This window comes from Homo sapiens, chromosome 16 (assembly GCF_000001405.40).
Source record: "Homo sapiens chromosome 16, GRCh38.p14 Primary Assembly".
Lineage (NCBI taxonomy): Eukaryota > Metazoa > Chordata > Mammalia > Primates > Hominidae > Homo > Homo sapiens.
Window position 1 is genome coordinate 23,540,804 of NC_000016.10, and position 15,883 is coordinate 23,556,686.

Genomic DNA, 15,883 nt, shown 5'->3' on the forward strand with positions numbered 1-15,883 from the left:
GAAACCCCGTCTCTACTAAAATATAAAAGAAAATTAAATTAGCCAAGTGTGGTGGCATGCACCTCTAGTCCCAGCTCCTCAGGAGGCTGAGACAGGAGAATTGCTTGTATCCAGGAAGTGGAGGTTGCAGTGAGCCAAGATCACACCACTGCACACCAGCCTGGGCAACAGAGCAAGACTCCGTCTCCAAAAAATAAATAAATAAATAAATAACATAAAGGTTTATTAAGGCCGAGTGTCGTAGCTCATGCCTGTAATCCCAGCACTTTGGGAGGCCACTTGAGGATCACTTGGGCAGATCACTTGAGGTCAGGAGTTTGAGACCAGCCTGACCAACATGGTGAAACCCCATCTCTACCAAAAAAATACAAAAATTAGCAGGGTGTGGTGGCGGGCACCTGTAATCCCAGCTACTCGGGAGGCTGAGGCCAGAGAATCACTTGAACCTGGGAGATGGAGATTGCAGTGAGCCAAGATCTTGCCACTGCACTCCAGCCTGGGGAATAGAGCAAGACTCCATTTCTAAAATAACACAACATAACATAAAACAAAACAAAACAAAACAAAAATAAATGTTTGTTAAGACGAAACTGATTAAGTAAATGAAGTTATATCCACAAATGGAATATTATGCATTATTATGGACTGATATCTGATCCTCAAGATGGTAAGCGGACATGGTAAATTGCACCACATAGCATGTACATAGTACATTGCATGCTACCATGTGAATAAGGAAAAAGAGAAAATAATATGTACTTATAGGTATATGTACTGAATGTCTCTGGAGGAGACATAAGAAAATTTTAACACTGGTTATCTCTGGAGAGCAGAATTGAGTGGCCAGAGTCAAGATTGGAAGAGAGTTCTTTCAATATATATCTTTGTGGATCTTCTTTTTTTTTTTTTTGAGACAGTCTCCCTCTGTCACCCAGGCTGGAGTACAATGGCACAATCTCAGCTCACTGCAACCTCCACCTTCTGGGTTCATGCGATTCTAGTGCCTCAACCTCCCAGGTAGCTAGGATTACAGGCGTGCACCACCAAGCTCAGCTAATTTTTTTTTTTTTTTGGAGATGGAGTCTTGCTCTGTTGCCCAGGCTGGAGTACAATGGCATGATCTCAGCTCACTGCAACCTTCGCCTCCCAGGTTCAAATTATTCTCCCGCCTCAGCCTCCCAAGTAGCTGGGATTATAGGCACCCGCCATCATGCCCAGCTAATTTTTGTATTTTTGTAGAGATGGGGTTTCACCATATTGGCCAGGCTGGTCTTGAACTCCTGACCTCAGGTGATCTGCCCACCTCGGCTTCCCAACGTACGGGGATTACAGGCATGAGCCACCACTCCAGGCCTAATTTTTGTATTTTTAGTAAAGATGGGGTTTCACCATGTTGGCCAGGCTGGTCTCGAACTTCTGACCTCAAGTGATCTGCCCACCTCCGCCCTCCCAAAGTGCTGGAATTACAGACGTGAGCCACCATACTTGGCCCTTTGTGGACCTTTCATTTTTCTTTTTTTTTTTTTTTTTTTTTGAGACAGTGTCGCTCTATCGCCCAGGCTGGAGTGCAGTGGTGCAGTCTTGGCTCACTGCAACCTCCACTTCCTGGGTTCAAATGATTCTCCTGCCTCAGCCTCCCGAGCAGCTGGGACTACATGCGCACCACCACGCCCAGCTAATTTTTGTATTTTTAGCAGAGACGGGGTTTCACCACATTGGCCAGGCTGGTCCTGAACTCTTGACCTCGTGATCCACCCACCTCAGCCTCCCAAAGTGCTGGGATTACAGGCGTGAGCCACCACGTCCGGCCTGTGGACCTTGCTCATTAAAAATAACAAATAATTAAAATTACTTTACACATTACTTTCTGAGACCAAATCTTGGCTTCTAACATAGCCCCAGTCATTCTCGCCTTCTGGTGTTTCTGTCCTTGTGTAGTCCCCTCCCCTTGAGTGTGGGCTGGGCCTAGTGACTTTTGTCTAATGAACAAAAATAATGCCAAATATGCCTAATCTGAAATGCTCCAATGGTCCAGGTGCAGTGGTTCACGCCTGTAATCCCAGCACTTTGGGAGGCTGAGGTGGGAAGATTGTTCGAGTTCAGGAGTTTGAGAACAGCCTGGGCAACATGGCGAAACCCTCTCTCTATTAAAAACACAAAAATTAGCCAGGTGTGGTGGCATGTGCCTGTAGTCCCAGCTACACAGGAGGCTGAGGCACGAGAATCCCTTGAACCCGGGAGGTGGAGACTGCAGTAAGCTGAGATTGCACCACTGCACTCTAGCCTGGGTAGCAGAGCAAGACTCTGTCTCACCAAAAAAAAAAAAAAAAAAAAGTCAGGTGCAGTGGCTCACATCTATAATCCCAGCACTTTAGGAGGCCAAGGTGGGAGGATTGCTTGAGGCCAGGAGTTCAAGACCAGCCTGGGCAACATAGTGAGATCCCCATCTTTATGAAAAGTTTAAAAAAAAAAATTAGCCAGGAGTACAGTCCTAGTTACTTGGGAGGCTGAGATGGGGGCACTGCGTGAGTCCAGGAGTTGGAGGCTGCAGTGAGCCAACATCACACCATTGCACTCCAGCCTGGGTGACAAAGTAAGACCCTGACTCTATGAAAAAAAACAACAACAACAACAACAAAAAAAAAACCAAAAAACCTGATCTGGCTGGGCACGGTGGTTTACGCCTATAATCCTAACACTTTGGGAATCTGAGAAAGGTGGATCACCTGAGGTTGGCCTGGCCAACACAGTGACACCCGTCTCTACTAAAAATACAAAAATTAAATGGGTGTGGTGGCGGGCACCTGTAGTCCCAGCTACCCAGGAGGCTGAGGCAGGATAACTGCTTGAACCCAGGAGGCAGAGGTTGCAGTGAGCCAAGATTGCACCACTGCGCTCCAGCCTGGGCGACAGAGTGAGACTGTCTCAAAAAAAAAAAAAAAAAGCCACAACTGATCTGACATTTGAAACCTTTTGAGTGCTGACATGATGCCATAAGTGGAAAATACAACACCCAAACACATGTGACAGGCTACAGTCAAAATAGTCAAAACTTTGTTTCGTGCACAAAATTATTTAAAATATTGCATAAAATCACCTCCAGCCTATGTGTATAAGGCGTACATGAAACATAAATGAATCTCATGTTTAGACTTGGGTCCCACCCCCAAGATATCTCATTATATATATGCAGATATTTCAATATGCAAAAAATCTGAAATCCAAAACACTTCTGGTCCCAAGCGTTCCAGAGAAGGAATACATAGCCTATAAAACAAAAGTGGTGAGAAGTTGCTTCCACAACTAGGTAGACTCCAGCTCGTACGTGCTCACTCTCTCCTTGGCTGGCTTTGAGAAATGCTGGCTGCCACGCTGTAAGCTGCTCTATGGAGAGGCTCGCATGGCAAAGAACTGATGTCTCCAGGCAACAGCTAGCAAGGACCTGAGGTTGGCCAATAGCCTTCTGAGAGGAGATGGAAGTAGATCTTCCCCAAGCTAAGCTTTAAGAGAACTCCAGGACTGGCTAGGACCTGTAGTTGCTTGTGGCTTTGAGAGAATCCCTGAGCCAAAGAAACAGGTGAGGCCACGCTCAGATGCCTGACCCACAGAAACTGAGAGGTAATACATGTTTAGGGGAATTTCTTACGCAGCACAAGGTAACAAACACACCCAATGTTGATGAGGCATCTGCAACAAGCTGAGGTTCTTACCGGGGCGTCTGGTGGTTCCGCAAGGCCTCCTTCTTCAGGAGCTCCAGCCGCTGGGGTGAGCAGAAACAGGGGTAAGCAGCTCCGGTCTTCAGCAGCGCTTCTGTGGCCTGGGCATACAGCTCCAACCGCTGAGATTGCTGGTAGGGCCCAGCAGGACCGCCCCGGCGGGGGCTCTCATCAGGCGGGATGCCTGGAACACAGGGAATAATGACAGCTAAGGTGCACACAGCGCTCGTTCTCAGGCATTGCTCTAAGCACTTTATGCACATATTAAAGCTTTAATCCTCATAACAATCCATGAGGTTGGCATTAGTACAATGTCCTCCCCGCCGCCTTTTTTTTTGAGGCAGAGTCTTGCTCTGATGTCGCCAAGGCTGGAGTGCAGTGGTGCAATCTTAGCTCACTGCAACCTCCACCTCCCAAGTTCAAGCGGTTCTCCTGCCTCAGCCTCCCGAATAGCTGGGATTACAAGCATGTGCCACCTCACCCAGCTAATTTTTGTATTTTTAGTAGAGACAGCGTTTCACCATGTTGGCCAGGCTGGTCTTGAACTCCCGACCTCAGGTGATCCACCTGCCTCGGCCTCTCAAAGTGCTGGGATTACAGGCGTGAGCCACTGCACCCGGCCCAATGTCCCTTTTAGAGATGAAAAGTTAAAACACAGAGAGGTGAAGCACTCAAAGTCGCATGGGCTCATGGACTAAGGAGCAAACGGAGGTGTACGGGCTCCAAAGTCCACATCCCTAATTGTATGTCCTCTCAATCCCTGATGGGATTCCCTGGAGAGGGAGAAACAAGCCCAGGCCTGGGAACAGCTGACTTAGGAGAAAAAAGCATGGTTCAGAGAACAGCCCATCAGGCCCTGGTGGGACTCATGGCTCTGCCACTTAGTAGCTGTGACAAGGGATCCTGAGGTGCTACCAACGTGTGAGCACCAGGGTGCTGAGTGCCATAAAAGACACTTTTCCCTGAAGCCTCAAACCCACCCTACCAGGTAGGTGCGGTTATTCCCCCACTCTGTGAGGACACTGAGGCACAGAGATGCTTTGTCACCTGGCCGAGTAGAAGGGGCACGATCAGCTTCAAACCCAGACTAATGGGCACCGGAGCCGATATTCTTAACCACTCATTACACTGCTGTTTGTGTTACTTAGCCTTTCTTTTTCTAAGAGATGGGGTCTCACTCTATCACCCAGCTGGAGTGCAGTGGTGTGATCATAGCACACTGCAGCCTCGAACTTCCGGGCTCAAGCCACCCTCCTGCCTCAACCTCCCGAGTAGCTAGAACTACAGGTGCACATCACCACATCTGGCTATTTTTTTAGTAGAGAGCGAGTCTTGCTGTGTCACTCAGGCTAGGGTGCAGTAGTGCAATCATAGCTCACTACAGTCTCCAATTTCTAGGCTCAAGTGATCCTCCCACCTCAGCCTCTCGAGTAGCTGGGATTATAGGAATGTGCCACCATGCCCAGCTAGACTTAATCTTTCTAAGCCTCAGTTTCCTCTTTTGAAAAGTGGAGCTAGCAGCCTCCTGTGCAGAGGGAATTGTGAGAACAAATGTGTCAGTGCTTATAAGCACTTAGCCCAGTGGTGTATATTTAGGACAGTTTCAATATATGCTATAGAATAGATTAAATATGATCTACTGTAAGCCAAACCCCAAACCCAAAGTCCAATTCCCTCCGATTACATAGGATAAATTTCATTATGAATGCTTTCAGGAGAGGGCACAGGGACACAAGAACTGGAAGATGGTGTTTCTGCCCTCAAAGAGCTTTCAAAGGAATTGGGAAGATAAGGACATTGTTCACCTTGCTACCCTCAATGCTAACACAAACTGAGCTGAGTGGGCCTGGGTTCAAACGTACCAGCCAGCTCAGAGATCTTGGGCAAGTCATCTTTCTGGGCTCTGGGTTCTCATCTGTCAAAGAAGGAAACAAGTAGTAACTTTCTCATGAGGATCATCATGAGACTAGAGTAAGATGATCTAAGTAAAGTACTCATCAAGTGGCCTGTGACCGGTGCTCTCTATGCTTTGGTATTTATGTATTTATTTATTTGAGACAGGGTCTCACTCTGTTGCCCAGGTTGGAGTGCAGTGGCACGTTCTCGGCTAATTGAAGCCTCAACCTCTCAGGCTCAAGTGATCCTCCCACCTCAGCCTCCCAAGTAGCTGAGACTACAGGTACATGCCACCAGGCCTGGCTAACTTTTTTTAAGTTTTCTATAGAGACAAGGTCTGCCTATGTTGCCCAGGCTGGTCTCAAACTCCTGGGCTCAAGTGATCCTCTTGCCTCGGCTTCCCAGTGTTGGGATTATAGGCGTGAGCCATGGCACCCAGCCATCTGTGATTATCAGTGTTACTTGGCTCCCTCTCATGGGACCTCCATTTCTTCATTTGTCAGAAAGGAGGGCTAAATCGGGTAAATTTGGGGGGATCCCTTCCTGATCTAATGCTAAACAAGTCTCTTTAATGTGGTATCTTGGAATGCCCCAGGGTTTAAGAGGGACTCCCCTAGGAGAACTGAAAACATGTTAACTTAAACTCTGGCATGTAAATGTTCATAGAGTTTTATTGGACAGCCAAAAACCAGAGTAACTAAAATGCTCATTCACTAGTGATGAATAAACAAAATGTGGTATAACCATATGATGAATATTATTTGGCTATAAAAAGGAATGAAGCATGATAGCCCACAGATGCGCTTATGGTAAGTGAAGGAAGCCAGTCACAGAAGGCCATATATTATATGATCTCATTCATATGAAACGTCCAGAAGAGGCAAATCCATGGAGGCAGAAAGAGATCAGTAGTTGCCAGGTGGTAGGAGAGGGTAGAATGGAAAACAACTGCTAATAAGGAAGAGTTTCTTTTAGGGGTGATGGAAATGTTCTGGAATTAGTGGTGACGGTTGCGCAACACAGTAAATATATTGAAAACCACTGAATTGTACACTTTGATATGGTAAATTTCATATCATGTGAATTATATGTCATTTTTTTTTCCCCGAAGACAGAGTCTAGCTCTGTCACCCAGGCTGGAGTGCAGTGGCACGATCTCGGCTCACTGCAACCTCCACCTCCCGGTTCAAGCAATTCTCCTGCCTCAGCCTCCTGAGTAGCTGGGATTACAAGCATGTGCCACCACGCCCAACTAATTTTTGTATTTTTATTAGAGACAGGGTTTCAACATGTTGGCCAGGCTGGTCTGGAACTCCTGACTTTGTGATCCGCCTGCCCAGACAAGAGCCACCCCATGTGAGAGCCACCACGCCTTGCTTATATGTCATTATTTTTAAAAGGCTGGGCATGCTGGGTCATGCCTGTAATCCCAGCACTTTGGGAGGCCGAGGTAGGTGGATCATTTGAGCTCAGGAGTTCGAAACCAGCCTGGGCAACATGGTGAAACACCGCCTCTAAAAAAATAATAATAATAGCCAGGCGCGGTGGCTCACGTCTGTAATCCCAGCACTTTGGGAGGCTGAGGCGGGCAGATCACGAGGTCAGGAGATCAAGACCATCCTGGCTAACACAGTGAAACCCCGTCTCTACTAAAAATACAAAAACAAAATTAGCTGGGCTTGGTGGCAGACACTTGTAGTTCCAGCTACTCGGGAGGCTGAGGCGGGAGAATGGCATGAACCCGGGAGGTGGAGCTTGCAGTGAGCCGAGATCGCACCACTGCACTCCAGCCTGGGCGACAGAGCGAGACTCCATCTCAATAAATAAATAAATAAATAAATAAATAAATAAATAAATAAAATGAAAAAAATTAAAAAAGAAAGAATGACTCCCAAAGTAAGGTGCTCCAGAAGTCAGCCACCATGAGGTGCCTGAATACCTGCCCTCTGCCTCGCCAAAACACCAGGGTGGGGGACAAGCTCTGGGCTGCAAGCCTCATTCTCACAATGATGCTGCCCCAGGAATTCCACGAGGGTGGGACCCGCCACCATCACCGTTGTTCATCACTGTATCCCTCATGCCTGGCGTGGTACCTGATAAGTAGCAGATCCTCTGTGAAACTGAAGCCTTCATCTTGGTCTGTGAGGCACCATGTAATCTGGCTCCTGGAAAGCCTTTTTTTTTTGAGACAGGGTCTCACACTGTCGCTCCAGGCTGGAGTGTAATGGCATGACTGACAGGAGACAGACAAATTCCTAGGCAGTCAGGGACAGGTCCCTGGTGAAATCTGACTTCTAAGCCAAAGACAGCCTGAAAACCAAACTGTCAAGTCAGGATAGAGTCCATGACTGGAGTGAGAACTTGTTTCCCTGTCTCACCCACTCTCTCGATTGGTTCCTTCCGGATGATGTTTTAACCAACTGAATGGTCCTTTTTCCAAGACCACTCATGGACCAATCGGCAGGCATGCCCCCATTCTAAGCCCATAAAAATGATAGACTCAGCCTCACAGATGGCTACCACTTTCAGGGTCCCCTCTCGCAGTGGAGAGTTTCCCTTCTGTCATTCAATAAAATTCTTCTCTGCCTTACTCACTCTATGGTACCTGCACACCTCATTCCTCTTGGTTGCAGGACAAGAACCCAAAACTCGCCAAGCTGCGGGTGACGGGAATAAAAGAGCTGTAACACGCTCCCGCTCACCAGACTACAGGAGAAAGAGAGCTGTAACACGCTCCCACTCACCAAGCTACAGGAGTGAAGAGCTGAGACAGTGCTGGGGACTCAGATCTCAGGACTCCCCAAACAAGAGCTATAACACCCCTTGGAGCTCCACAACTGATGGTATTTCCCAAGTTTTTGGGTGCCACCATGTTCCCCTCATCTAGATGCCAGCACCCAACACAGAAGCCACTCGTGGCACACCCAGTCCAGCCATGGGCTGAGTGTGGAGCCATGGCAGGTGTGGGATCCAAGTGGGCATGAGCCAAGTGCAGCCTGCTGGGCCAAATGGGCCCAGAAGGCCCAAGCGAGGCCCCGACAGAGGTGAGGGCAGCTGCAGAGATTTCTGGCTGGCAAAGTGGCACTGAAGGAATTCTGTAACATGATCACAGCTCACTGCAGCCTCAACCTCAACTTCCCCAGGCTCAGGTGATGCTCCCACCTCAGCCTCCCAAGTAGCTGGGACTATAAGAGTGCACCACTACACCTGGGTAATTTTTTGTAGAGATGAGGTCTCACTATGTGGCCCAGGTTGGTCTTGGACTCCTGGGTCCAAGTGATCCTCTCTTCTTGGCCTCCCAAAGTGCTGGGATTCCAGGCGTGTACCCCTGTGCCCGACCTGGCAAGCCTTCTATCCTCACATCCCTGGTCATTCTGCTCACTATGGTTAGACCAAGCTGGTCTTTTTGATGCTCCTCAAATACATCTAGAACACTCCTGCTGTGGGGCCTCTGCATTGGCTATTCTTTTTGCTTTGAACATTCTTCCCCCAGGTCACCACGGGGCTGGCTCCTCACTTCATGCAGGTCTCTGCTCCAGCATCACCTCCTAAGAGAAAACTGCCCTATCTACAAGGGCATCCCTCGCCCTAGTTTCTAAGCCTGTTACTCTTTTCTCCATACTGGTTATTATCATTTAGTATCCTATGAAGAATGAATTAGGAGCCAGGAGCGATGGTTCATGACCGTGATGCCAGCACTTTGGGAGGCCGAGGCAGGAGAATTAACTTGAGGTCAGGGGTTCAACAGCAGCCTGGGCAACATAGCAAGACCCTACCTCTACAAAAACATAAGTTAATAAAATTAGCTGGGCATGGTGGCACACAGCTATGGTGCCAGCTACCCAGGAGGCTAAGGTGAGAGGATCCCTTGAGCTCAGGAATTTGAGATTACAGTGAGCTGTGTTTGAACCACTGCGCTCTAGCCTGGGCAACAGAGCAAGATTTTGTTTGTTAAAAAAAAAAAAAAAGAAATAATTAATCCACTCATCTGTCTTTTCCCTTGGCACTAAGCACATGGTCTTTTTTTTTTTTTTTTTTTTGAGACAGAGTCTCACTCTGTCACCCAGGCTGGAGTGCAGTGATGCAATCTCGGCTCACTGCAAGCTCCGCCTTCCGGGTTCACGCCATTCTCCTGCCTCAGCCTCCTGAGTAGCTGAGACTACAGGCACCCGCCACCACGCCTGGCTAATTTTTTGTATTTTTAGTAGAGATGGGGTTTCACTATGTTAGCCAGGATGGTCTCGATCTCCTGACCTCGTGATGCACCAGCCTCGGCCTCCCAAAGTTTTGGGATTACAGGCGTGAGCCACCACGCCCGGCCAACCATTTTATACTCTTTAGGAATCCAGAGTTTAGTGAGTAATTTACCTGAGATTAGAACACACATCTCAAAATAGTCTTGGGGTTTTTCTTTCTTTTTTTTTCAATCTCTAGACTAGCAGAGTCTTGGTATTTTTCCTTGGGAATCTCCCCTTTCCTAGTCACACCCGTCCATACAGGTAGACAACTGTCGACCCATGAAAAGGAAACACACTCCTCTTTGTTCTCCCTGACCTTAGCTGTCCTCAGGATAAAACTTCCCACAAGATCAACTTCAGAAGCTGTACGTGTTTTGTGTGGCTTATACAACATGGTTAAAAAAAATCTGAGCCCAGATTTAATAATGGTTAAGTATTCATCCAGAAAAACTGGATTTCTGGCTCCTCTTGCAACTCAGAGGATTGGACAAGCTGGGCCAGCATTCCCGCATGGGCACAAGGAGCTGGAGCTCAGAGGCACTCCCAACTCTGGATGAGGTGTGGTTTTCACAGCTCAGCACTGGCCCAGCTCCTCCAGTTCCCACTTGGCCCTGTGTTTCCTGCCTGGCCCCTGTAGGGAATGAACTTGAGATTCTGAGGTGAAAACAGGAATCTCAAAACAGCCTTGGCAGTGGCTCACACCTGTAATCCCAGCTCTTTGGGAGGCTGTAGCAGGAGGATTGCTTGAGCCCAGGAGTTTGAGAATAGCTTGGGCAACACAGTGAGATCTCATCTCTACAAAAAAATTAAAAATTAGCCAGGCGTGGTGGTGCGTGCCTGTAGTCCCAACTACTTGGGAGGCTAAGGTGGAGGATCACTTGAGCCCAGGTCGAGGCTACAGTAAGTTATGATTGTGCCATGGAACTCTAGCCTGGGTAACAAAATGAGACCCTGACTCTAAAAAATTAAAAAATAAAGAAACCAAGTTGGGCGCGGTGGCTCATGCCTATAATCCCAGCACTTTGGGAGGTCGAGGCAGGTGGATCACGAGGTCAGGAGGTCAAGATCATCCTTGCTAACACAGTGAAACCCCGTCTCTACTAAAAATACAAAAAAACTTAGCCGGGCGTGGTGGCGGGCGCCTGTAGTTCCAGCTACTTGGAGGCTGAGGCAGAAGAATGGCGTGAACCCGGAAGGCGGAGCTTGCAGTGAGCCGAGATCGCACCACTGCACTCCAGCCTGGGCAACAGAGCAAGACTCTGTCTCAAAAACAATAAATAAATAAAAATAAAGAAACCAGTCTTGGAGCTGTGTTTCAGAGAGCTTCGGCATTTTTTCAGGTGTCATCTGCCACCCCGGGCAGGGCAGTACAAATGTAGCCACTTCTCCAGGAACTCCCCATTTTCCACTCAGAACTCCATGAGAAGACCCACAGGCTCCTTTTCCTGCTTCCTGTTCCTTCCCTGCAGAAAGATCCTTTCTCTGCCAGGCTTACCTGCCCACTCCAGCATGTCCTCAATATTCTCCGCTGCCCCAGGCACAACGCGAGTCTGATCTGTGTCCTCTAGCCTCAGGATGAAGCTCCCCTGGTACTTCTTAGCAAAGATGTAGTTGTACAAGGCAGTGCGGAGGCCACCCAGGTGCAAGAAGCCTGGAGAAGAGAACAGCTCAGATAAGACAGGGAAGATAAGCTAATAGGCCTCAGCAAGGGGCAAGTAAGCACTACTGTGACAGAATGTTGCAATAAATTTAAAAGACCAGCAGGACACATTGGCTCACGCCTGTAATCCTACCACTTTGGGAGGCCAAGGCCGGGGGGATCACTTGAGCCCAGGAGGTTCCTGTAGGTTTTTTAAGACAAGAGTCTCACTCTGTCACCCAAGCTGGAGTGCAGTGGCACAGTCTTGGCTCACTGCAACCTCTGCCTCTTGTGTTTAAGCAATTCTCATGCCCAGCCTCCCGAGTAGCTGGGATTACAGGTGTGTGCCACCACGTCCAGCTACATGTTTGTATTTTTGGTAGAGACAGGCATTCGCCATGTTGGCAAGGCTGGTCTTGAACTCCTGGCCTCAAGTGATCCCCCCAGCCTCGGCCTCCCAAGTGCTGGGATCACAGGCAAGAGCCATCACACCTGGCCAATTTTTGTATTTTTAGTAAAGATAGGATTTTGCCATGGTGGTCAGGCTGATCTCGAACTCCTGACCTCAAGTGATCCATCTGCCTTGGCTTCCCAAAGTGCTGGGATTACAAGCGTGAGCCATTGTGCTTGGCCTGAGTTTGAGATCTGCCTGGGCAACATGGTGAGACCTTGTCTTAGCAAAAAATATAAAAATTTAGCTGGGCATGGTGGTACATGCCTGTGGTTTCAGTTACTGAGGTGGGAGGATCACCTGAGCCTGGGGACGCTGAGGCTGCAGCGAGCCATGATCACGCCTCTGCACTCCAGCCTGGGCAGCAGTAGAGTGAGACTCTGTCTCAAACAAAAAAAATTAAAAATTAAAAAATTTTTTTTCAAAGACTAAGAACTAGTTACCCCTGTGCCCTGTCTCCAGACACATTTAATCCCTCATCCTGAAAATGGAAACCACCCAGGATTTGGAGCATGTCATTTTATTAAAAGGCTCCAATTTTCCCCAACTGCATCCACCACTCTATTTTGATATTTGTCTCAAGGCCAAGTTTCGCCTGAAAGAGAAGCAGAGAGTTATTCATTGAGGCCATATCATGTACATTTAACTTACAGAAATTCAATGATGTGCGCTGGGAAAAAAATTAATTACAAACAAACTAGAAATTTAAAATACTGTACAATCATATTGTGGGCCAGGTGCAGTAGCTCACACCTCTAATCCCAGCACTTTTGGAGGCAGAGGCACGAGGATCACCTGGGTCTCTAAATTTGAGACCAGCCTGGGCAACATTGTGAGATCCTGTCTCTACAAAGAAAAAAAAAATCGGTGGGGCATGGTGGCTCACACCTTTAATCCCAGCACTTTGGGAGGCCGAGGCGGGTGGATCACAAAGTCAGGAGTTTGAGGCCAGCCTGGCCAACATGTTGAAACCCCGTCTCTACTAAAAATACCACAAAAAAAATTAGCTGGGCATGGTGGTGGGCGCCTGTAATCCCAGCTACTTGGGAGGTTGAGGCAGGAGAACTGCTTGAACCCAGGAGACAGAGGTTGCAGTGAGCCGAGATCGCACCATTGCACTCCAGCCTGGGCGACAGGGCGAGACTCCATCTCCAAAAAAAAAAAAAAAATCACATTTTGCATATGCAGTCTATGCAGTGTGCATGACTGTCCACGTCGTACATTTTAAATTTCATCTACTTGAGATTTTTACTTTTTTAAAGAAACAAAATTCATTTTTGAAATTTGAGATGGGGTCTCACTCTTGCCCAGGCTGAAGTCCAGTGGTACAGTCACGGCTCACTGCAGCCTCAACCACCCAGGCTCAATCAATCCTCCCACGTCAGCCTCCCAAGTAGCTGGAACTACAAGTGTACACCACCATGCCCGGCTAATATTTGTTTTTTGGTTTTTTTTTTGCAGAGGCAAGGTCTCACTATGTTGCCCAGGCTGGTCTCAAACTCCTGGGCTCAAGCAATCCTTACACTTCAGCCTCCCAAAGTGCTGGGATTACTGGCATGAGCCACCATGCCTTGCCAAGATTTTCACCCTAATTGCTGGCTTTAAACACTAACCAAAAGTAGTGTTTGATTCCACTGTATTTCTCTTCATCAGTTTAAACTCCTAAGATTTGCCTTTTTCATCATTCCTGTCTGAAAACTGAAAGTTAACAGCTTTTCCAGAGTTGTCATTACCTCTTACCGTACCTTCTTCGGACCAGCCCACAGCCCTAAGTCTCCACAATGAGCTCATCTACATTTACAAGTACAAGAGGCAGCAGAGGAGAGAAAAAGCTCTTCTGGGGCCAGGCCGACCCTGCTTCAACACTGATGTGTGTAACCTTCGGATAGTTACTGCAAGGACACCAGAAAACCAGTGGTATTCAGTGGCACTGAGTCCCACGAGTCCCCAAGACAAAAGAGGAACCCAGCTGCTGAAAACAAAGCCTCTTACATCAAGTACACCTGGATTCAAATTCTGCATCCACCATTTATTAGTTGCTACCCCTTGAGAAGGAACTCTACTTAACTTTTATGAGCTTCTATTTCCTCATCTGTCAGAGGGATTAAGAGCAAAAAAATAAGAACCTTCTTTATTATAGGGTTGCTCTGAGGTCTAAATGCTGACCAAAGTAAACCCTCAATTAATTTCAGCTACTGTAATGATCTGTGCCTGATAATTCTTTTATCTGTTTATAGTCAAAAGCCTTTCCCACATGGGCTTTCCCCGCAAATGAGCAAGGAAATGAGAAGTACAATCATCATAATAGAGGCTGTGTATTAAGTGCTTTCTGGGTGTACTAGACCTTACTAAGTGGTTCGGCTGCATGAGCTTAACCCCATAAGACAGATATTATTATTAGCCCCGTTTTGACAAATGGTGAAACTGAGGCTCAGATTCATTAAATAATTTGCACATCTAGGCCAGGTGTGATGGCTCACACCTATAATCCCAGCACTTTCGGAGGCCAAGGCAGGTGGATCACTTGAGCTCAGGAGTTCAAGATCCGCCCAGGCAACATGGCAAAACCCCATCTCTACAAGAAAATACAAAAATTAGCTGGGCGTAGTGGTCACACACTTGTAGTCCCAGCTACTCGGGAGGTTGAGGTGGGAGGATCACTTGAGCCCCGGAGGCTGAGGTTGCAGTGAGCCGAGATTGCACCACTGCACTCCAGCCTGGACGACAGACAGAGCCAAACCCTGTCTCAAAATAACAATAATAATTTGCACATCTAGTAAGTTACACATCTAATAAGTGGCCACGACAGAAATTTGGACCCAGGCAATCCCAGGCTTTGGCATTCTACATAAGTGCTCTTCAAAGCAAAGTGTGCAATCCAGTGCTGGTCTGAAAACAGTTGTCAGTTCACAATCAAGTACAGAAACTGAGAGTAAAGGTTTAGAAACTTTTGTTGTTGTTTTGAGATGGAGTCTCACTCTGTCACCCGGGCTGCAGTGCGGTGGCACGATCTCGGCTCACTGCAACCTCTTTCTCCTGGGTTCAAACGATTTTCAGCCTCCTGAGTAGCTGGGATTACAGGCCTGGGCCACATGCCCGGCTAATTTTTGTATTTTAGTAGAGACAAGGTTTTGCCATATTGGCCAGGCGAAACTTACATAGCAATCTGGCAGAATGATTTTACCTCTGCTAACCCAAATAAAATGAGATTGGTTTGTATTTTGGATGTTTTCAAAATTTTATTTTTCTGGTCATTATATTAATTTTGTGCAAATATTGATACACAATTGATTGGAAATTTAAAACCAGCACTTCCACAACAGATGGTTTGAAAGGCACTGCTCTAGGCTATACTGCCTGCCAGAAAGATCCTGTCATGTATAGCTGGGATTTTACTACAAAGATCTTTGTATGTTCATCCTGGGATTTGGGATGAGAGGCATACTCCGTGTAGAGAACGTAGAAGGTAGCCTTACTGGTGGGAACCAAAAGGCCCTGACGAGATCTCCAACAGGCTATACAATGGGCCTCTGTCACCCTCTAGCTTGCTAAGCTCCCAACAGCACTAGCACAGTGCCTTGGTACCTGCGATTTCCTCTACCCAGAAGGTTCCTTCTTTTTTGTTTTTGAGACACAGTTTCGCTCTTGTTGCCCAGGCTGGAGTGCAATGGCGCGATCTTGGCTCACCGCAATCTCCACCTCCTGCGTTCAAGCGATTCTCCTGCCTCAGCCTCCCAAGTAGCTGGGATTACAGGCATGCGCCACCATGCCCAGATAATTTTGTATTTTTAGTAGAGACAGGGCTTCACCATGTTGGTCAGACGGCTCTCAAGTGATCCACTTGACCTCAAGTGATGCACCCACCTCTGCCTCCCAAAGTGCTGGGATTACAAGCGTGAGCCACCGCGCCTGGCCTCCAGAAGGTTCCTTCTATAGGCTTCAC

At 47.6% G+C, this 15,883-nt stretch overlaps 1 protein-coding gene across 5 annotated transcripts in view, besides 1 other annotated feature; it reads right to left on the bottom strand.

Annotated features, from left to right (window-relative positions):
• The window catches only part of EARS2 (glutamyl-tRNA synthetase 2, mitochondrial), a 36,622-nt gene that overhangs the window by 20,050 nt on the left and 689 nt on the right, over positions 1–15,883 (bottom strand). For all 5 annotated transcript variants that reach the window (NR_003501.2, XR_001751841.1, NM_001083614.2 and 2 more), the window contains exons 2-3: positions 11,346–11,501; positions 3,711–3,900 (exon numbers count right to left, since the gene is read on the bottom strand). Coding sequence is in view for 3 of the 5 variants with exons in the window: in NM_001083614.2 (NP_001077083.1) it covers positions 3,711–3,900; positions 11,346–11,501 (346 nt within the window). In the remaining 2 variants the exon portion in view is untranslated. The remainder of the gene's footprint in view (positions 1–3,710; positions 3,901–11,345; positions 11,502–15,883) is intronic.
• Positions 15,232–15,876: an enhancer, noted in NCBI's record as "H3K27ac hESC enhancer chr16:23567356-23568000 (GRCh37/hg19 assembly coordinates)". NCBI's record gives its function as "activates a minimal SCP1, AML or CMV promoter by ChIP-STARR-seq in naive H9 embryonic stem cells {active_cell/tissue: H9 hESC(naive)}" and the evidence as "EXISTENCE:reporter gene assay evidence [ECO:0000049][PMID:30033119]".